General features: G+C 35.4%; 1 protein-coding gene across 3 annotated transcripts in view; it reads right to left on the bottom strand.

The window, feature by feature from the left end:
* BANK1 (B cell scaffold protein with ankyrin repeats 1) overlaps nucleotides 1–24,248 on the bottom strand; it is a 284,083-nt gene that overhangs the window by 233,348 nt on the left and 26,487 nt on the right. For 2 of the 3 annotated variants that reach the window (NM_017935.5, NM_001083907.3), the window contains exon 2: nucleotides 11,259–11,657. The exons of the other annotated variant lie outside the window; for it this stretch is intronic. In NM_017935.5, the coding sequence (NP_060405.5) occupies nucleotides 11,259–11,657 (399 nt within the window). The remainder of the gene's footprint in view (nucleotides 1–11,258; nucleotides 11,658–24,248) is intronic. 3 annotated transcript variants of the gene reach the window in all.

Below are 24,248 nucleotides of genomic sequence, written 5' to 3'. Positions count from 1 at the left end.
GGCCTATCATTTCAGATTTTGTTTAATTTAAAAAAAGATACTCATATATTCATTTAAGTTTAGTCCTATACTTATAATTTATGCCTTGCTTTTTCCTCTAACATATTATGATTCTCTCAACTTTTAAACAGTTTATATTCTGCACAATCAGAATTATATATGGAATGAAATATGCCAAAATGTTAACAGTGACTGCCTCTGGGTATTGTCATTCTAAGTGACATTTTCTTCCTGCTTCTTTTATGTTCTCTGTACTATTCAGATTTTTTTTTACAATGAGTATTATTTTTATAATTAGAAAAATAAAAAGCTTTTAAATATATACATGTTTTAATTTTAGGCTGGGCACGGTGGCTCATGACCGCAATCCCAGCACTTTGGGAGGTTGAGGCAGGTGGATCACGTAGGCCAGGAGTTTGAGACCAGCCTGGCCAATATGGTGAAACACTTTCTCTACTAAAAATAAAAAAATTAGCTGGGCGTGACGGCGCATGCCTGTGGTCCTAGCTACTTGGGAGGCTGAGGTATAATTGGTTGAACCTGCAAGGTAGAATTTAGAGTGAGCTGAGATCGCACCACTGCATTCTAGAGTGAGACCCTCACTCAAAATATGCTGAGACCAGCTCGGTGGGGGAGACCCTAACCTAGAGGTGCTAGAGGATTTCAAGACACACACACAGAAATACAGAGGTGTGAAGTGGGAAATCAGGGGTCTCACAGCCTTCAGAGCTGAGAGCCTCGAACAGAGATTTACCCATGTATTTATTAACAGCAAGCCAGTGATGAGCATTGTTTCTATAGATTATAGATTAACTAAAAGTATTCCTTATGGGAAACAAAGGGATGGGCTGAAATAAAGGGATGGGCTTAGGCTAGTTATCTGCAGCAGGAGCATGTCCTTAAGGCACAAGAATGCCTTTAAGTGGTTTTCCGCCCTGAGTGGGCCAGGTGCTTCTTACCCTCATTCTGGTAAACACACAACCTTCAGCATGTGTGTCACGGTCATCACAAACAAGTCACAGTGCTTCAGAGATTTTGTTTATGGCCAGTTTTGGCGCAAGTTTATGGCCAGATTTTGGGGGGCCTGTTCCCAACAAAAATATATTTTTTTCTTTAAATTTAAAAATTATTGTCCATAATTCAAAGTCAGGCATCATATATTTATTGAGATTAAACACACTATAAAATTAAATATTTGGCCGGGCGCGGTGGCTCACGCCTGTGATGCCAGCACTTCGGGAGGCCGAGGCGGGCGGATCACGAGGTCAGGAGATCGAGACCATCCCGGCTAAAACGGTGAAACCCCGTCTCTACTAAAAATACAAAAAATTAGCCGGGCGTAGTGGCGGGCGCCTGTAGTCCCAGCTACTTGGGAGGCTGAGGCAGGAGAATGGCGTGAACCCGGGAGGCGGAGCTTGCAGTGAGCCGAGATCCCGCCACTGCACTCCAGCCTGGGCGACAGAGCGAGACTCTGTCTCAAAAAAAAAAAAAAAAAAAAAAAAAAAAAAAAAAAAAAAAAAAAAAAAATTAAATATTTGAAATTATATAGTAGCTATCTTGGAAAGAATATGGAAAAAAAGCAATTGTATATCTCCTTTGTCTTAGTTTCTAAAAAGCTATGAAAGCCTAAGAAACAATTACACATTAGATATAAATCACACTTTCTCATATTCCAAAAGAAGTTCAAGAGTTGTAAAGAATTTGGCCAGTTGAATAAAAAAATTATTATTGTATATGGTGCTGGTCATTGTGAATAATGAAGCAATGATTCAGACAAATCCTCCCTGCTTAAGAATTGAAGGGATGATAGAGCATTTATTAGGGGATAGGGTAGCATAATAACGGGGCTGAAAAATATAGGTTCTCAATTTCCATAATGTTAGTCAAATTGAATTCCTGCAAAAGTACTTGAATAAAAAGTAATGTTGAATAAGAGTAAGCTTCCTCATATGGGAAGCTATTAAATGGATTGACGAGCATTACTTACCTCCCTAGAAATACATTTTGTAGCATTATGATGCTACTAACAGTCAAAAAAATACAAGTATGAGATGAGCTTTAGAGGAGCACTTGTGATGATTTCCACATATCTTAATATTTCTCTTACTGTCAAAAGGAAATCATAATTGCCTAGTAAAGAGTACAACCATAAACATTTAATGAATATAGTTCCTGAAAAAAACCATGTAATTTCAACCCTTCTATTATGCAACTTATAAAATGGGATACTAAAAATTTCAGCTCTCTCAACATATGAGAATATTAAGACACTAGTAAAAGTAATTTGAAATCACTCATGAAAACTCAAGGTTAAAAATACATATCCTCAATAAATGAATGTAAGTGAATTCTCATTTGGTGATATCATAAAATGTCTGACTTTTAAAATCTTTATTTTTTAATTTAGTTTAAACTACCTATTGTGTTTCTCAGTCAAGAATAAAGTTAAAATATATAAGTTTCTCACTCTATTCCTGTGTGAAATATAAAAATATGGCAAAACAGTGTCAGATACATCATCTTGAATCAAGCTGTTAACTAATCTCACATGATCCTATACCTTAACTTCCAGCATAAATACGTGTGAACAAGAAAATGTTACTGATGTTAAGAAAATAAAGTTTAAAGTGTCTGTCTTGAAAAATAATTACTGAGGTTACCAAGTGGCTGGTCACCAGCTAAGGGAGAGCATGTTCAAGTCAAACACAGCTCAAAGGTATGATCTCCCTCCAATGGCTCAATCATCACATAAGGGTAGATTTCTTTGGACCTTGGATTACAGGTAGACTTCAGGATACCAACTGTCTTGGCATAGATTTCAGAACTAGATATTTTATAATAAGAGACAGTAAAATTTTGTTTTTTCCTGGGCTCTGTACATAGTTTCTGCCCTTTAACACTAGAGTTAATTTTCAGAAAAGCCTTGGAATCATGCTGTTTATGCAGCAGATGATCATTTCCCATGTGGAATTGAAATGTTAAAAAAAAATCAGCTTTTAGCAAAAATAAAGAGGAAATCATCTAAAGAAAGGTAAGATTTTTGGAAAGCAAAGAATAATATAAGCTAACTTCTAAGTTGTTAATAACACAATGATCCTGAGTAATAAAACAGTGTACCTTAGTTTTTGATTCAAAAAAGGAGGCAGTAGAACTCAGAAATAGGGTGTATACATTCATAATAAGAATATGTTTAAAAGCTACCCAGAGGCTGGGCATGATGGTTCATGCCTGTAATCCCACCACTTTGGAAGGCCGAGGTGGGTGGATCACTTGAAGCCAGGAGTTCAAAACCAGTCTGTGCAACATGGTGAAACCCCGTGTCTACTAAAAATCCAAAAGAATTAGCCGGGCGTAGCACACACCTGTAATCCCAGCTACTCAGGAGGCTGAGGCACAAGAATCATTTGAACTCTGGAGGTGGAGGTTGCAGTGAGCCCAGGTCCCACCACTGCACTCCAGCCTGGGTGACAGAGCAAGACCCTGTCTCAAAAAAGAAGAGAAAGAGAAGAGAGAGGGGAGGGAGAGGGAGAGAGAAGAGGGAAAGGGGGAGAGAGAAGGGGGAGAGGGAGAGGGAGAGGGAGAGGAGAAAAGCTATCCAGAGTCGTATACAGAATGCTTTTACAAACACAGCTAAAAATATCCTGATCAAATGTCTTTATCTTATTTTATTAGCAATAAATAAATCATAATTACAGTCTGCTGCCTAGGACTAATAAATGTTTACTAACCATTTTGTTGTTTGAGTTTCATTCTTCAATATACATGAGAATGACCAAACATGATATTTTAAAAAACAAAATGAAAGAATTAAAAATAGAATTTAAAAAGATAAATTGATTAATATATAAAAAGCTTCTTTAAAGAGAAATTGAATATGTACCATACATTGAGGGAAAAATCCTTGAAACCTTAGTCCTTACAGTCTCAGAAATAATTTGAGTGACATTATTAAATCATGCAAGCCAGAGAAACTCTTTGGGACAAAATAAAACCCTTGTGTAAAGTATCAGATACCTGAACTCAATTTATAATTCAGACTTTTTGAGTAATATTCTTTTCAAACAATCCATCACTTTAATTGGAATTCTGAAGTTATAATGAACTATTAGTTTCTTAGAGAAAGAAAAAAAGTCAGTATTCAATCCCTGAATCTTAAAGTTGGCAGCTAACAATTTTTCAAACCTTAATAAATTCTAGAAGCACAAAAACAGTTGTACCGGTCTTAGTCCTAAATATACTAAATTATCATTACACATTTACTGATAGAATTGATTATTGTCTAAATTTGTGAACAATCAAAGTAAGTGTTTTAAATCCTGCTAATTTAAAAAAAATTGTACATAATATTTGATTATGAGAGGCCTTGCCTGCTACTTTAAGGTATTTTGACTTTATTCCATAGGTGACGTAGAGCCCCATAATTTAGTATGTGTTTTAGAAAAATTGGGAGGAAAAAGGCCACCAGCTGGGAGGTTCTAGTAGTAGACTGTGAAATGGAAGATGAAGATCTAGGCCAATGGATGAGAAATGGGCACGGAGATACAGTTCTAAGCCACAGAAATTAATTGAATGTAGAAGATGGGGAAAGCTCTGGGATAGTGCCGAGCCGATGGCTTTGGATTAGTTTATTGTGAAATAATAATTCACCCTTTCTTTTAACCTCTTGATTTTAATACTGTTGAAGAGTACAGAGCAATTATTTTGTAGAATCTTCCTTGATTCCACAAAAATCTCCCAGTTTGATTTGTCTGATATTTCCTCATGATTAGATTGAGGTTATGTATTCTTGACAAGAATCCCACAGTAAACCTTTCATCAAGAGGTTTCAATAAAGAGAAAAACCAAACTGTACCAGAAACATTTATAAATCTGTACTTAAAAACACAATTTGTCCTTTCTAGGTTTGTGGGGTTTTTTTGAGGTTGAGAATGCTGAAATATTTTTAAAATGAAATTTTTTTGTTTTTGTTTCTGTTTGTTTTGTTTGAGACAGAGTCTCGCTCTGTCGCCCAGGTTGGAGTGCAGTGGCACCATCTGGGCTCACGGCAGCCTCTGCCTCCCAGGTTTAAGTGATTCACCTACCTCAGCCTCCTGAGTAACTGGGATTACAGGTGTGCACCACCATGCCCAGCTAATTTTTGTATTTTCAGTAGAGACTGGGTTTCACCATGTTGGCCAGCCTGGTCTCGACTCCTGACCTCAAGTGATCTGCCTGCCTCAGCCTCCCAAAGTGCTTGGATTACAGGCGTGAGCCACCGCGCCAGGCATAAAAGAAAGTTAACAACATTCCATTTGTAAAACAGCAATAAGGAGAAGAAAAGAAATGGTTAAAAAAATAGTTACGGAGAATATAGAATGTAACGAGAGTCATAAGTATGCAATAATCAAAATTAATAGAATTAGATGAGGAAAATATTTTTCAAGCAGAAACGATATGACATGAATTTATTAATAAAGCAACTTGTCAACTGACTTTGAAGGATGGTTGAGATTTCAACTGAAAATATGTGGAAGGATACTCCAGATGAAGAGAAAAGTGAAAAAACAATGGAGTGAACGCAAAAATGGAAAGGCTGTGTTTGTTCAATGGTGAATGATACAATTACCCTAGTATACAGTATGTCTACACTAATGCTGGTGACAGAAATGGCCTGGACACCCATGCTGGAGCCATACCTTCAAAGAGCTGAAAGACCATGCAAAAAGGAAGGACTTCATTTGAAAGGCTACAACATCTCACTGACTAGTTCTAGGAAGGTCCAGTGAGTCAGAGTTCTTAAGCAATACACAGCACAGACAGAAAGAAAGGAAAACAATGCTTCTGCATAGTTTGTTTCTGTTCTGTTGTTTGTTTTGTTTTGCCTTTCCAATAATTCTACTGTTACATTACTATTCATTTTGTCCTTCTTTTAAAAAGTGTAAAATAAAGCTAAAAATTTGAAATCCTTGGTTTGGTAACAGAAAAACAAAATGGAAATGTTAAGGTTCTTCAAGAAAGAGAAGTTTTTCCTGTTAATGGACAATGAAGAAAATATGAGAAAATAAGCCATGGAGAGAGCTGTTGGTAAAGGGTAGCTCAGGGGTTGCAAGCAAACCAGCATGCCTGGTCCAGAAGTGACGGGGGCAGAGTTGAGAACAAAGAACAAGGGAGGACAGAGGCCTTGGAGAGGTGCCAGGATCCTGAAAACCAGAAGGATTCAAGTACATGTTGGTGATATTCAGAAACGGCAGTTGATTTTATAACAATTTCAGATCAGCTTATTTATATCACATATAAACAATGCTGTATGAAGCCTATAAATGTGGAAAGACTAGAAAAGCAAGTTAGGTAAAACACCAAAACTAACAAATAGAAGACAGAAAAAGGAAGGAATGTCATACAAACGATTATAAAACACACAGAAAAGAGTAAATACAGCTGGATTTGTGTTACTCCCAATTTGGGAATTAAGAAGACAGGAAATTTGGTTTTCTTAATTCCTTTAAAGGAAATAAAATACTAGGAGAAAATATAAATTACTGTGTCTTTTAAAAAAATTTTAATGTTAAAAACTTTTCTCTGGAGCCTTGATTAATTATAAAATAGCTTTCTCTTTCTTAAAATTTCCTCTGATTTTTCTTTGTGTTATATTAATATATTAGAACATTTAATTATTTCCATGACTTTCCTGGCATTGTTATCATTCTCTTTTTCATAGCCTGTTTCTGAATAATAAGTTTCCCTTATTCTTTGTATAATTTCTTTATGGAATGAGGAAAAATAGAAAAGGGACAGTAAAATCTGAATTCCACATTCTTTGTCCTATTTCACCCATTTTTTTTTGTACTGATCTCAATTTAAATACAAGACTTTATGTCTTCAACATGATTGGCAACATAAACATAAAATAATTTAGCAGAGCACTTAAGCAAATTTATCACTGCATAGACTACAGCAAATAGAACCAATTTCTTCAAAGGACACAACCCACATATAAAAGTTATTTTATGCAGTTTGGAGATTGCTACCATTTGTAGACTTGGAAATACAACTATATGCTTCTGGTTGCATTCTTGTACCTCAGACAAAAATGCACTATATTTGAACACCCTTTTCCAAATAAGATGGTTATATTTTCCAATTGGCACATCTAAGTTACTCTAAGAAATCAGAGTCCAAAATCAATGTGGGCAGATGAGAGATAATAGTGTCTCCAAAATAGTGCTGTGTTGTCTATAAGGTGTGAGTTTTTCCTCTTACCGAGCATGAATAGAAATATAATTTGAAGACATAGCAGAATACCACTTTCATATCCACCTAAAAATACTCATCATAAAACAAAACAACTGAAACAACAAAAAGGTATATATCAAATATTTTTACATAATAGTGACATTATAGCTCAAGTGGCCAAAACAACATGAGTTCTTTGAATAAATAGAAATTATGGGTGTGGAGAGCCATCTAAAATTTTACTAACAATCTTCAGGGAGAAGAGTAGCATAAACTTACTTGTGCTTTACTGTGATTTAAAAAAATAATTTTCCTATTGTAACACTTTTTTCTTTTCAGTCAAAAAAGTTTAATATACTTGAGGAATACTAAAAAGAGAGAGAGAAAAAGAGATCATAAGAAACTTGAAAACTTCCAGTTTGAACATTATGGTGTACTGTGAATATTTCCCCTTTTTATTCTTGGAAATCATCCCAACACATAGACAATGAGGAAATATTATGCAAATGTCCTACTTAGAGGAAATAGGAAACAGTGAAATCCTAGACCCAAATTCAATGAACTGTTTCCTAAAACAGTGATGATACAGCATGAGGGTGTACAGGAGGAAACAGAGAAAAGACACTTTGAAGAAACAGTCCAGAAGCTGCAGATTTTAAAAAAGAGCCGGCAAACTTACTTCCTATAAGGCTAAGGGTACCTTGTAGATATGAGGCAACAATTTGAGGGAGAAGCATCTATGGAAGCAGTTTGGTTCTAAAAAGCAGACAAAGTGAGGCTAAATTAAGAGCTATACAGAAAAATCATATTACAGAAAGCAGTCTACATCTGTGGAAGCAGAGAAGTACAGTCTTTTATTGTAAAATAACAACAACAATAACAAAACAGAACAAACAACAAAACCCACTCTGTCTATCTCCATTGGCTGGACCAAAAAAAACTCACTTTTCTCAGTGACACATAAGAAAACTTGAGGCCAGGTGCAGTGGCTCACGCCTGTAGTCCCCGCACTTTGGGCGGTTGAGGTGGGTGGGTCACCTGAGGTCGGGAGTTCAAGACCAGCCAGACCAACATGGAGAAACCGAATCTCTACTAAAAATACAAAATTAGCCGGGTATGGTGGCACACACCTGTAATCCCAGCTACTCAGGAGGCTGAGGCAGGAGAATTGCTTGAACCTGGGAGGTGGAGGTTGCAGTGAGCTGAGATTGTGCCATTGCACTCCAGCCTGGGCAACAAGAGCAAAACTCCGTCTCAAAAAAAAAAGAAAGAAACCTGAACAAGCATAGAATCTATATAAAGATACTAAAAGAGAAAAAGTGAGAAAGGGAAGGAGAGAGGGAGGGAAGGAAGGGAGGAAGGGAGGGAAAAAGAAAGCAAAGAAGGAAGGGAGGGAGGGAGGAAAAGAGGAAAGGAGAAAACCAATGGAGATGGGGAGCAAAAACTAAACACGTTACCATAAACAAAGTTGAAAATTGTAACCAAACATTTCACCGTGAATTTTTAAAATGTAATGAATAGAAATCACCTTTTGAAAGCAATTATATAGTGCAGATATGCAAGAAGTTAGAGAGAGGTGAGTGAATTAAGAACAAGAGATGAATTTTAAGTTATAAGTGCTCAACCAAAAGGTACAATGAGAAAAAGTAAAAGTACTATGAAAACGAAAGAGATTGGAAGTAATACAGAGAAAGAGAAACTCATGAAAGTATAAAATGGTAGCAAAAGTTAAAGTGAAAATGCAAACTAAGTTAATTAGATATTAATAGACTCAAAGGGATTAGAGAGAAATTGTAGAGTGCAGTGCAGACTAAAGAAATCCAAAATACATAAAAAAGGAGTCCCTGAAAAATAAACCGTAAACTTAGATATAAGTTAAGAAATTCTTCATGAAATAAAAGAAGACTTGACTCTACATTTTGGGAAAAAGATACAAACAAAAATAAGAAAGCATGTCCCTGGGAAAAATAATCCAGAATAGTCAGCACTAAAATATTCTAGTAAAGTCACTAAACTTCAACTATAAATGAAGAATCCTTTAGTCAGCTAGGCAAATAAAAATTCTGTAAATTCTGCAGTGCTAGAGACAGAAGAGCAAGAGCAATACTGTCCTCAGACAAACTCTACCTTCAGTGTAAGACAAGAGACAAACTCTTAAACATTCAGCAATTCAGAAACATTGCTTCCAAGGCACCTTCCTCAGGAATGATTAGAAGTGACCTTCAGCCAACCAAGGGATTATTAAAATCACAATAACAAAGGAAACTGTCAACAATGTAAGCCCTGTTAGCAGATCTTCACTTAGTGGAGGCTTCAGAGGATCTTAGCTCTGGACAGCTTGACTGCATCCTCATGACAAATCCTGCTCCAGAACCTCCCAGCTAAACCCCTCTAGATTCCTGAATCATAGAAACTGATATAACCATTATGTATAAGTTGCTAAAATTTAGAGAAACTTGTTATGCAACAATAGACAACTAAGACAATGCTTTAATCACACCTGTAATCCCAACACTTTAGGAGGCCAAGGTGGGCTGATCACTTGAGGTTAGGAGTTTGAGACCAGCCTGGCCAACATGGTAAAACCTCATCTCCTCTAAAAATACAAAAATTAGCCAGGCATGGTGGTGCGTGTCTGTAATATCAGCTACTCAGGAGGCTGAGGCACGAGAATTGCTTTAGCCTGGGAGGCAGAGGTTGCCATGAACCAAGTTCATGCCACTGCACTCCACCCTGGATGACAGAGCGAGACTCTGTCTCAAAACAAAACAAAACAAACAAAAAAACCATTGAATTTGAAGAGGTTACAATACTGGAAAATAAGAAGGAATTTTGGTAAGAAGAAAGTTGTTTTCCACCAGGGAAGAAGTATAGTGAGAAAAGCTTCCAGCGAACCATTTGGGGTTGATATAGGTTCCCTGGATTTACAGAACTCCAACACTTATGCTGGATCCAGGTTTGGAAATTACTAAAGGCAAGAGACTGTGGCTGTACTGCTGCTCTGAGGGCAGGATGGTGATAGCTACTCTGGGAATGGCTTGTATGCCCAGAGTTTGTCCGGAAAAAGATAAATGAAGATAAAGGAAGGTTTATCTTCAGATAGATGTGGACAAGGTAGGAGAAACACCCAGCCAGGAGGTATCTCAGTGCCATTTTCATCATGAGAGACACATGAAGGAGCCATAGAACTCAACAGTAAGAATCTATATGCATTAGACAACCACAGCTATGATCTTAGAGAAGAGGGACTATTTGACTTATTAAGAAACTGCAAGAGAGACATTCCCAGCGAATAAGGAATTTCCCAAAACTCAGAAATTTGCTCCAAAAAAAATAGCCAACTTTTAATCTGGTGTGGCCAAGATAAAATGATAGCTTCACTCCTTCCCTTTAAGCCATGAAACCATAGTTAGAAGACTGGGAGTTGAGAGCAAAGGGCAGACTAAGGAAACCAGGGAAGCAGCTGACCACAGCACCCCTTTCACACCTAGCAGAATAAAACTGTGGAAGGGAGAAGCTTTAACATTGTAAGCTGCAGCATTTTTATTATTACATGGAAATGTAATTAATTAATTAATGGGACCTGGTATTTTCTTTTATCTAAAGGTTACATGCTTAAAATTTTAAAAGCTCTGTAATTGTAACCCAGACCTTCAAACCTTGAACTGCTACTGACTGGTAACACCACTAGAGTATATTAACTCATGCCTCACCAGTTACATAAGAAACCAGCTTCCAGAACCAAACTGTCATATGACTTGAGCATACCATACTTGTTCTGCCATGATCTCATCCAGGCTGCCCTAAAGAATATATTTATAAGCCATGTTTAGAACAAGGAATAAGCCTTGATTGGAATAGAGCTAAAAATTAAGAAACTTAATGTATTTTGTGGACAGTACAACATACTGTTGAATAAAATCAGCTCTCATTTTTCTTATTCCTATCCTGACACCAGTTATTGGTTCTAAAACAACTTGCAATTCTTTAATTACAAAAAAAAAAAAACAAATAAAAATAAAACAAACAAGGTTTGGCAACACTACCTTTGAATATGATACTCTGGATTACAGAGATGTAGTCTTCAGGTTCCTGTTCAGTTGAGATCTCCCATCTGCTTTGAGAGATATTTAGTAATTCATAGAGCTGATCTGAACTCTTCACTCCACAAAGCAAAGTAACTACACTTTTTGGTGAATGAAGTATCTTTTCCAGAAACTGACATTTCTTTGGAGTTAGGTCTCTAAGCAGGCTATTTGATAATATCAAAAGTTTACATTTGTAAGACGTTAAGTTCAGCAACTCCAAATGCCGAAAAGAGAAATTCTCCAAGCGATATAACAGGATGGCTTCCCTTTTCACAACATGTAAAAATACTTCTGTCAAGTACAGAGCCCATTCCTCAGCATCTTCTTCATATATCATTATTATATCTTTTGTATTTCCTGGAAAAAGAAAAAATATTTTCTTATATTTGCAATGCTATCAGCAGGTTAAATTATTATTTCTCAAAAATTTTAATATGCTCACTAGGCAATATATTAATTTGCTTATACCAGAGAAAAACTCTATGAAAGTCCTTCATAGTATAAAAAATCATAGATTAAATAAAACTAGAATTCAAAGACAAGTTGATTTAAATTTTAAAAAGAATGATATGAAAGAGTATAATAAATAAGGAAACGAGCCAAAACAATACCATTACCCAGATAATAAATAAATTAGAAAAAGAAATAAGTAGATTAGACATAGATAATGTTATAGATAATATTTTAATTTCTGGCCCAAAAGAAAAGCTTGATATTTTCATAGTAAATCAAAAAAAAACAAAGGAGGAGAAACAGAACAAGGCTAACACAATTGTTGAAAATACGATATATTTAGTTGAGAGTCAAAAACAGAAAAGATTCAGTATAAGGATGATCCAAAAGCCTGACGTAGAAGAGAATAATATACACATTAAAACACTGTAAAACATGTAATTTTTAATAATTTTTAAAATCCTTGAAATAAGAAAGATAAAGGAACCAGCTCTATGGATCAATGTGAAACAATCAGGCTCCAGCTAAAACTGTTAAAGAAAACAGATCTTGCCCGGCGCGGTGGCTCACACCTGTAATCCCAGCACTTTGGGAGGCTGAGGCGGGCTGATCACGAGGTCAGGAGATCGAGACCATTCTAGCTAACACAGTGAAACCCCATCTCTACTAAAAATACAAAAAATTAGCTGGGTGTGGTGGTGGGTGCCTGTAGTCCCAGGCACTTGGGAGGCTGAGTCAGGAGAATGGCTTGAACCCAGGAGGCGGAGTTTGCAGTGAGCGGAGATTATGCCACTGCACTCCAGCCTGGGCAACAGAGTGAGACTCTGTCTCAAAAAAAAAAGAAGAGAAAACAGATCTTGATTAAATTGTCCTTAACTTAATGATAATTATAAAATTTCTTCACATATCCAGGAAAGAAAACAAAGTCACCACAATAAGAGAAATGTGAGGTTGGTCTTGATTTCTTTAGAGCATTTTCAAGGCCAGATGAATTATAAGAAAATTTTTACAAAACTAATTTTCACAGTATATTCATACTATAAAATATTGCATAACAATGAAAAAGAATGTAACAATGCTACATGCAACATGGATGAATCGAAAGACATAATATTGAGTGAAAGAAGAAAGAGTATATATTGCATAATTGTATTTATGTAAAGTTCCAAAGCAGAAAACTTGATTCACAGTGATACAGATCTGAATATTTTAGGGTAGAATTAACAAAATAGGTATGAGAGAGCCTGCTGGAGTTCTGGATATGGTCTATATCTTGATCTAGGTGGTAGATATATATGGAGATATATATATATATATATATATATATAAATTCACTCATCTACATATCTTAGATTGTGTTTGTAAGTTATACTGCAATACACCTGCAAAAGCTATATGACTTGGGGAGGGAAAGACATAGGAAATAAATAAAGCATTTGTAACATTATCACATGTATTTGAAAATTAGAGAAAATATGCTAATAATGGAGGTTGGACAGGTCTAATAGGGCATTTACAAAAAGAATTAAAGATAGGTACATTTCAATATTTTGCATAAAAAACAAAAATGAAGTAAATATTAATTCTGGAAAAAAGCCCCAAAATTTATGAAAGAAAGCAGGATAATTATAGACTATTTGGAACAATAGTGTGCATGTGTTTATAGTTATAATAATATAAAAATTGATTAATTAATGACAAGTTGAGATTTAAATATCCTGGAGAATAAGAGAAGAGTCAGACTAACAAAAGTATACAAATACTTATCTTATGTTTTATAGGAAGACAATAGATAATAGCTAAAATTAGTAAATCAAGAAATCATAATATAAATGTATCTTTTTGAAATATGCAAAGGAATAAAAAAAGAAACTTTGAAAAAACTATGGCTTTTAAGGTTCTTAGAAGTGTGGAATAGTATTTGGGGAAAGGGAAAGTGAAGAACTGTTGATTTTCACTATGTTTTATCATTGTTTTATATGAAAGTGTAACTGTAATCAAAATTTAAATAATAGAGGAAAATCCAGCCAAAAAATAGCAGAACCAAAGTAAAGTAAACAGAAATTAAAAAAACTTTGGAAAAAGAATAGGGTGAGTTGAATACACGTACATATAGAACAACAACCAAATGCTGAGGGCATTATGATTGCACTACAAAACGCACATTTTAACTTGATGAAATAAAAGTGATTACACAGTGGGAAAAACTGAGCATTTGGGGAGGAGAAAGTAAAACATTCTAACCTCATCTTTAATAGAATTTAATCCTTTAACACTGCCTAAATTTGAAACATTAATTTAAAATAATGACTTCATTCAATATTTTTTGTATCATTTTTCCCTAAACAATAATAAATAATCTAAAAAGTAGTCAAAGAAATTTTTATCTTAAAATATATCATTAGTTTTACTTTAAATTAACTTTATATTTAAAGATAGCATGTAAACCCAAATCTCATTTTTAATAAAATAGTACCTCCATGCCTATCTACCTAAAATAATTCTATCATTAGCAACAATTGTTTATGTGAGAGAGAGGACTTTGAGAGATATATGGCTTTCTTTTTCTTCACTCTTCCATATTGCTTATATTTTTATAATAAACTTATATTATTTTACAAAACATAATCATTTTTAAAGATCAGTTTGTACAGTATTATCATGAGTACAAAGAGTGAAACGCCAAACTCTTGTCATCTTCTTCCTCTGAAAACAGAGCATGTATTTTCTACACCACTGATGTGGTGAAGAAAACCATAATGATTCTGAGAGCTTTTGTATTTTATTGAATTATTGGGTTTATGTATTTCTGTCTTTTCTCGTGATATAAATATTATCTCTGAGGGCAGATGCTTTATTTTTCAATCCAAATTCCTACACAATGCCAAGCACAATTTCTTGAACAGATATTCAACAACTTTTTTTTACATATTTATGTATGTAGAATGAGAAAAAAACATCTGGCAGAAAACATATGGGAATCACACGTAAGTTGTATATGAATCATCAATATAGTTCTGTTATTCTGTGTATAGTAGTGTAGTATCTCATCTAGCCTGGATGCTAAATAACTTGTTTAACAAACAGAAATATTATGCCATAATTCAGTATTTTTATGTTTGAGGAACGGTAGGAGGAGGGTTTTCTTCATATTGCATATAGCCAGAATAAGCTGGTCTACAGTTATAAAAATAGTAGGAGTATAAATAAAATTAATAATAATTAAAATTATCAAGCATTTAAAATAAATTAGGTCTCTATGTGTTTCACACATGCTGTTTCATTTAATTCTCACAATTACACTCTTAAGTAAGTACTAATGTTTTCCTCATTTTACAGATGGGAAAACTGAAGTGGTATTAGAATCAGGACTCCAATGCGGGCAGTCTGCCCTATACCCTATACTTTTAACTTCTAACAGCAAAGGACACAATAATATTATTTAAAAGATTACAGTAGATTATTTGCAGGGATATGAGTTAGATTAGTCAATATCAAGCAGCCTATGGGGTAGTCTTAACTATGCACAGTATGTGAAGGCTTACTGGGAGTCTGGGTTCCTACCAAGGAGAAAGAGGAAACAGAACATATCATGTACTCTAACAGTAGAGTAATCTATGAAGAATTTACAGAATTGACTTTTTGACTCTATAATTTAAATCAAGAAAATTGTAGAATAAGCTATGAGTAGATGTTAATGTAAAGAATAAATACTCCCACGTTATTTGGCTTGGTATCACAATTGGCAGACAACTATATGAAATCAAAAATAGAGACAATCATAACCTGTCTTTCAAAGCCCAAGAAAATTACACAGGTAGTCTTTCTCAATACTCTAGATGCATTTTTACTTATGTTGAAAATTGAGCCTTTTTATTTGACTTATATTTTGTCAATAACCTCATATGACAATTCTCAAAAACCTGAATTTGACATCAAATATCATTCCTTTCTTCTCTACAGATGAAATCATTTCAGTATTTTAATCTTTAGTTTTCTCAATTATTATTTACTGAGACTTTCTATGTACCAGGCATGTTGCTAAGCAGTTGACATGTATTACCTCATTTAATCCTCACCAAACTGCAGGAAGTTGGTCCTGTTAGTCTTATTTTACTGATGTTCTCATCGAGGCTCAGAGGGGTTAAGTTACTTATCAGAGCCACAAAGATAGTTGTTGATCTTTATGCTGACTTTCTTTCTTTTCATATGAAGCTAAGTTGTGTTGAAATATAAAAGTTAATAAAAACTCTTTTAATAAGCCATGGTTTTCTTTTCCCTTTTTCTAGAAAATAGAAGTTTGTAACTGAATAATATCTAGGACCACAGACCCCAAAATAGTTCTTGATAAATTCTCAAAAGTAGCCCAGTGGCCTTGAACTGCACTTCATTTTATACATTTGAATTAAATCAACCCTAAGTAATTCTCCCCATTTAAGGAGGGTTACTGTCATTATAGGCTTTGCAATGAAACAATAAATGATAAACTTGAAGCACAGAAATATAAAATTTCCATTCCTGGAAAGTTGCATCATAATAAAAAGACATTACTATTGAAGATGGAATCAAGATCTGCAAATAAATTATTTTAAATGTACATCTTCAGTCTTGCATCATAAAGTGACAGCATTATACAATGGTTCTGTAGGAACAAAATACAGCCATATTAATTTTTATAAATTTACTATATTCTTTCAGATTCAATAATGCCTTATTTGTCTTAAATACACTATAACAAATGTTTAAACCTGAAAGAAATATTTATCAATAATTTATATCAACAATTGCTTTTCCACCAAAACCAGACTACATTACATATTACCAAAAGAATGAGACTAAACATATATTAAAATTCTTCTTATTCCATATGCACAGCTTCAAATGGCAGATTTTCTTCTTTTTGAATAAAATCCAATCTCATACCCATGTTTTGATTGTGCATAATGGAAAAAGATTGCATAATGCATCCTTCCAGTATTACATTTTTCTAACTGGTAACCAAAAGGCAGAAGAAAAGAAAGCCAAAAATTACAAAAAAAAAAAAATGAGTTACAGCCATAATGGATTCAGCAATAACAACAAGAACATTAATCTTAATATAATCACACACACATATATCATTACTTACATTACACAGTAAGTATAACTCAATTGAGTTTACATTCCAACTTTGTACTGTTATTTCTAGTACAACATGAGAACAAAACTGGGGATTTTTCAAAGGTTTGAATGTAGTGAAACATCATAACTCATATTTCTCCTCTGGGAAAGTGGCTAATTCCACTTATTCATAGTGGGACATTCATATATGAAGTGTTTCCTGTATAATCTGTATATATCTGTGTAGTGGATGCTGTGGATGTACATCCCACATCTTCCTGGACACCAGCTACTGCTTAGTGGTCAGTTATTATTGACCACTTCTGACCTCTGCTTTACTGACTGAGGACTTTCGCTGGTGCTAAGAGTACTTCCTCAGTCTGTGCACCTGCCCAGCAGCTCATTAGCTCCAGGGATTTAGTGTACCAAGAATAGGGAGACAACCTCAGGCAGTGAGGAACAGAAGTAAATGTGTAAATAACTCAGCTTATCCAACCTGCAATGGGGCAATTCTGAGGTTTGTTCTACACAGTAACCAGAGAGTCCCAATGGTATTGAATTGTAACTCCTCGCTGTGTTATTCTACTTATTAATACACACATTGTCTTTTCTCCCTTTCTTATCTTTCTCCATTTCCTCACTAGAGCTTCATGGGCTCATGATCAAATACCTGTACTCAAGTCCATTTTTACAAATCTTCTACAGGACTCTTCTATGCATATACATTATTTAACTTAGTTCTTTCTTTCAAATGCAGGAAGGTACCAACACATAATTTTAAGATTATGCTTTTCAGCTATGGTGAAGAACAACCAGCAAAAATTTTTATGCAAATTCAGAATTTTCCACTTTCTTCTTTTAAGATGCAAACAGATACTTTTATGTCTCATAGAGCAACCATGGAAGGGATTTTTTTCTATATAAAAAAGCTTGGCATTAATTGTTACAGTATTATTTTGTGAAGTCTTCCTAACCCTGGATATATAAACTGAAAATGTTCTAATCCCACCTCTAATCACTTTTTATGTCTAGTTGGCCCATTCATAAAATTGAATAAAACACAAGTACCTAAATAGGGTTGTTGAAAGTACCAACTGAAAAAATTCATACAATGTGCTTATCACACGCATGGCCAATAGGAGTCAGGAAATATTAGATCTTACCAGTAAGACTGTCTACATCTGAGAGCAGGAAGGCCATACTCAAAAGTTTCTCAAAATATTACCACAATAATAAGGTATACAAAGGTAAGTATATATATTCATAAAATACGTGATTATTTCTTAAGTCTCTATATTGTCTACATGATTTATATACATTGGAATGGGAATTAAAAGAAAATTTTTTGAAAATATATTTTTTATCAAGTCATAGATATCATGGTTGAGAACATCTTGCACCTTTCCAAGTTTACCAATAATTTGTATTAAGGGAAGAAAAAATGTGAATGATGATTTGGGAAAGGTATTGTGTTAGAAATGGGTTTTAGGAAGCAATTGCAGCAAATACAAAAAATGACAAATAGGGTCTAATTAAACTAAACAGCTTCTGCACTGCAAAATAAACTATCAACAGAGTACAAAGACAACCATAAAGACACATGCACATAAATGTTCACTGCAGCACAATTCACAATAGCAAAGACATGCAATCAACCTAAATACCATCAATGATAGGCTGGATAAAGAAAATGTGGTGGCCAGACGCGGTGGCTCATATGTGTAATCCCAGCACTCTGGGAGGCCGAGGCGGGCGGATCACGAGGTCAGGAGATTGAGACCAGCCTGGCTAACGTGGCGAAACCCCGCCTCTACTAAAAATACAAAAAATTAGTGGGGCGTGGTGGCGGACACCTGTAGTCCCAGCTACTCGGGAGGCTGAGGCAGGAGAATGACATGAACTTGGGAGGTGGAGCTTGAAGTGAAGGGAGATTGCACCACCGCACTCCAGCCTGGGCAACAGAGCGAGACTCTGTCTCAAAAAAAAAAAAAAAAGTATTGATTCCAAGACAACACTGACCATAAGACCACCCATTATTTTGTTTCTTTAAGAAGAGAATGCTGTGATCAAAAAACTATAATGTACTACAAATTTAAAGATAAATTTTAACTTTAGAGCATTTGAATAATAAATTGTCAGAATCAATGAAATATGGTAACTTTAGAGAATTTGAATAATAAAATAAATTGTCAGAATCAGTAACATTACTATCTCATACAGTCTCTTAAGTGCCTTTTTTTTTTCTTTTTTTCTGAGGTCTCACTAAGGCTGGAGTGCAGTGGCGTGATCTTGGGGCTCAGTTCAACCTCCGCCTCCCAGGCTTAAGCGATCGTCCCATCTCAGCCTCCCGAGTAGCTGGGACCACAGGTATGCACCACCATGCCAAGTTAATTTTTTGTATTTTTTGTATTTTTTTAATGGTAGAGACAGGGTTTCCCCATGTTGACCAGACTGGTCTCAAACTGCTGGGCTCAAGTGATCCACCCACCTAGGCCTCCCAAAGTGCTAGGATTACAGGCATGAGCCACCACGCCTTGCCAAGTGCTTCTCATTTCTCCAATTCAACATCAAGAATGATCTCCTCAGAATCTTATTATTTTCTATGATTCCCCCCAGACTGATTTCTTTCCCGGAGGATGGCCCTTATGGATTACATCACCTAGGCTCCCATGCCTACCTTGATTGAAAGCACCATCAGAATATCAGATGAGAAGAAAGAATGATAGGGTTTTTTATTGGCCCTCCACCCACTCCTCCATTTTAGTTTGGACAGTGGCTGCTTTCCTGTATGGCCATTTTTCTACGACTTTTCTTTCATGGGTCCAGTTTTCATGCAATTCCAATAACCATCTTCCTTTCCCTTATCTCACTAGTGTAGTAAAGAATTTTTGTTGTTAGTTTGAATGCTTCACTATCCCTCCTCGATTCAAAAAATCAAGCAAACAAACAAACAAACAAAAAAACCCAAACCAAACATATACCATATACAAAAATCAGCTCATGATGGATTAAAGACTTAAATGCAAAACCCAAAACTACAAAAACCCTGGAAGACAACCTAGGCAATACCATCCTAGACATAGAAATGGGCAAAGACTTCATGACAAAGACACCAAAAGCAATCGCAACAAAAGTGAAAATTGACAAATGGGATCTAATTAAACAAGAGTTTCTGAACAGCAAAAGAAAGTATCAACAGTGAACAGACAACGTACAGAATGGGAGAAAAATTTTGCAAACTACGCATCTGACAAAGGTCAAATATCGAGCACCTATAAGGAACTTAAACACATTTCCAAGAGAAAAAAGCAAACAACTCCATTAAAAAGTGGGCAAAGGACATGAATAGACACTTTTCAAAAGAAGACATACATGTGGCCAACAATCATATGGAAAAAACCTCAATATCACTGATCATTAGAGAAATGAAAATCAAAAGCCCAATGAGATATCGTCTCACATCAGTTAGAAGGGCTATTAATAAAAAGTCAAAAAATAACAGATGCTGGCGAGGCTGTCGAGAAAACGGAAAACTTATACAGTGTTGGTGGGAATGTAAATTAGTTCAACCACTGTGGAATGCAGTATGGCAATTCCTCAAAGACCTAAAGACAGTAATGGCATTCGACCCACCCAGAGGAATATAAATCATTCTACCATAAAGACACATGCACGTGAATGTTCACTGCAGCACAATTCACAATAGCAAAGACATGGTATCAACCTAAGAGCCCATCAATGACAGATTGGATAAAAAGAATGTGGTACATACACACCATGGAATACTATGCACCCATAAAAAAGAATGAGATAACGTCTTGTGGGAACATGAATGAAGCTGGAGGCTATTATTCTCAGCAAACTAATTCAGGAACAGAAAACCAAATACCACATGTTCTCACTTATAAGTGGGAGCTAAATGATAAGAATTTATGAACACAAAAAAGGAAACAACAGTCACTGGGGTATGCTTGAAGGTGGAGGGTGGGAGGAGGGAGAGGAGCAGAAAAGATAACTATTGGGTACTGGCCTTAATTCCTGGGTGATGAAATAATCTGTACAACAGACCCCCATGACATGAGTTTACCTATGTAACAAACCATCACATGTAGGCCCTAAACTAAAATAAAAGTTTTTAAAAAAGGAACATTTTTAAAAACTTCACTTGAGGCAATTGCCTTACAAGTAATGTCAACTTTTCTTAGTACAGATGCCAACATCCCTCACTGGTTGCCTCTTGAATCAGTAACTAGAGTTAGATCCCACAAGGGAAGGGAGAAAATTCCACAAAAAACGATTTAATACTCAGAAATTGTTCATGGATATTGCCAATATGTATCAGCATGAGTTTGGAAAGTATGTATGGAATGAATTTTAAGGGTTATTAGACTGAGAAAGATGAATCAGAAGATTGGATCTGACTGAATTTATCAATATGGTTGTATTTTAACAGCATTCAGGATTTAATGTGTTATCTCAAGTACCTGTGGTAGTATTAACAGCCTATTAGAATGGTTAATTAAAGCTTGGATTCCATGGTGGCCTACAGTCAATGAGGCTGCAATGCCAGAATTTCCCTGCTATGACATAGAGCAGGAGTCAGTAGACAAACTTTCTGTAAATACTTTAGGCTTTGTGGCACTCTTGGAATCTCCTTCTCCTTCTTCTCCTCCTTATCCTTCTCCTCTTCTTTTCTACAACTTTAAATGTGTAAAAACCATTCTTAGCTCACAGATGATACACAAATAGGACACCAGCTGGATTTCGTCTACTGACTATCATTTGCTGACCTCTACTCTAGAGTGTTCTGATGTTCCCTTCGCTAGCATTAAGAAATGTATTCATGAAAAGTGCTGTGATGTCTGTCTTCTGCAGCATAGACACAATGATTAGGTTTAGACCTTTGAACTGAACTTTTGATGTCGATGGAGAATAATGAAGTCTGAGTTGGTAGAGAACAAATGGTAACACTCAATCATTAGAGACAATATAAATAATCAAAGTGTTTTTCACTGCAGGTATTGTGGTGGTATCTAATTGATCTGAGGGTCCTTAGGAATGAAATATATAGGGTATATATTTGTAATACAGATTACAAATGTAATGTAAACCTGAAATGTATAGCCTATGAAGGTTCTATATCATCTTTATAAACAAAACAATTCTTGTTTGGGGTGCAAAAACTTACTTAAGTTGCTATAATGGAAATTCATAGACTGCACCCTAATTTATAGACTTAGAGGACTTTGACTGAGGGGAGCTCAGGTCCCTTTGAAAAAGGGGTTTTCTATGCTGCTAAGCATGGGTACCATAAATCTTCCTCCAAGCCTTTGTCAGAGTGACCTAAAGGCACGTGTACTAGGGAAAAAATAATACTCAGAATACTCAGGAATATCTTCTAGCAATTATTAGTTACTAGTCTTAACTGATAAAAAATTCCCAAAGACTGAAAATACCACCATGGTATTTTTTGGGAATTTATAGAAGTCAGGTGTAATAATAAATGACATCTTGCCTTGAGTATATATATGATAATGATTCCAGTGGGCCCATGTGAGTACCACAGAGGTATCCTGTGGGTATTTTTTATGCCAGAAATGTTTGGTGATAATGCATATACATAGCAAATGTCAGAATCCTACCAGAGAATGAGGACTATTATTGTAGGAAAGGCAAAATATATGTATCTGAAACTGTCGAATCCCATTCTCACAGTAAACTAAAAAAAAAAAAAAAAAATACAGTAATCTTTCTTTATTCGTGGAGAATACCTTCCAAGACCCCCAGCGGATCCCTGAAACTACAGATAGCATAGAACTCTATATATACTAAGCTTTTTTGCTATAAATGTATGTCTATGATAAAGTTTAATTTATAAAGTAGGCACGGTAGGAGCATAGCAACAATAATTATTAATAAAATAGAACAACTGTAACAGTATATTATAGTAAAAGTTATGTGAAAATGTGGTTTCTCTTTCTCTTCCTTTCAAAATATATTACTATTTTTGGACCATGGCTGACCACGGATAACTAAAACCACAGGAAGCAAAACCACAGAGAAGGGGGACTACTGTACTACATTCCTGAAGGAATTACAGATTATTGCCATCAACAAAGACTTGGGAGATGAAGATATAATGGTGGTTATTTCTTCACAACTCTGCTTTACTCTCTAGTTTGCCAGTACAAAAGCCAAAGGGTCTTGTAAAATAACTGCTGATTTTCATAAACATAACCAGGTATTCATATTAACTGCTATTCCACAGATGATATATTTACTGGAGCAAATCAACTAGCCTATGTAAACTATAAACGGATATTGATCAAGTCATTATTTTCTTTATAATTGCAATGAATAAAGATAATAATCAGTTTGCAGTCACTTGGTAGAAACAGCAGTAACCTTTCCCTGACTTACCTCAAGGCTATGCCCCATGTCATAATAACATCTGTATAAATACTGACCATATCTATATGCCATACAGTATATAATTTTATATGTAAAATATAAAATTGATTAAATAAACTTGCTCATAGCAAAAGAGCAAATGCTCTAGTTGTCATAATATGATACATTTGTGCCAGAGTGTGAAGGATAAACCATATTGAAGTTCAGGAACCTGAAATATCATCCGTCTTTCTAGACAGCCAATGGTATAGCAGGGGTATCCAATCTTTTGACTTCCCTGGACCACATTGGAAGAAGAATTGTCTCGGGCCACATATAAAATACACTAATGACAGCTGATGAGCTAAAAAAAAATTGCAAAAAAAAAAAATCTCATAATGTTTTAAGAAAGTTTACAAATCTATGTTGGGCTACATTCAAAGCCATCCTGGGTCTCAGGTTGCACAAGCTTCCTTTAAGGCATATCAGGATAGCCCTGTATACCGAAAGACAATTTTTTTTATTTCCAACTTTTAAGTTCAGGGGCACGTGTGCGAGATGTGCAGGTTTGTTACATAGGTAAACGTGTGCCATGATGGTTTGCTGCATAGATCATCCAATCACCCAGGCATTAATCACCCAGCATCCATTAGTTATTCTTCCTGATCCTCTCCCTCCTCCCACCCCTCACCCTCCAACAGGCCCGGTGTGTGTTGCTCACCTCTATGTGTCCATGTTTTCTCATCATTTAGCTCCCACTTATAAGTAAGAACATTCGGTATTTGGTTTTCTGCTCATGCATTAGTTTGCTAAGGATGATGGCCTTCAGCACCATCCATTTCTCTGCAAAGGACATAATCGCATTCCTTTTTATGGCTGCATAGAATTCCATGGTGTACATGTACCACACTTTCTTTATCCAGTCTATCATTGATGGGCATTTGGGTTGATTTCATAAATTTACTATTGTGAATAATGCTGCGATGAACATAAAATATGCATGTG

The sequence above is a fragment of the Homo sapiens genome, chromosome 4 (genome assembly GCF_000001405.40).
Source record: "Homo sapiens chromosome 4, GRCh38.p14 Primary Assembly".
In the NCBI taxonomy this organism is placed as follows: Eukaryota; Metazoa; Chordata; class Mammalia; order Primates; family Hominidae; genus Homo; species Homo sapiens.
Note: the sequence above shows the minus strand (reverse complement) of the source record. Positions and strands in the feature narration are given on the sequence as shown.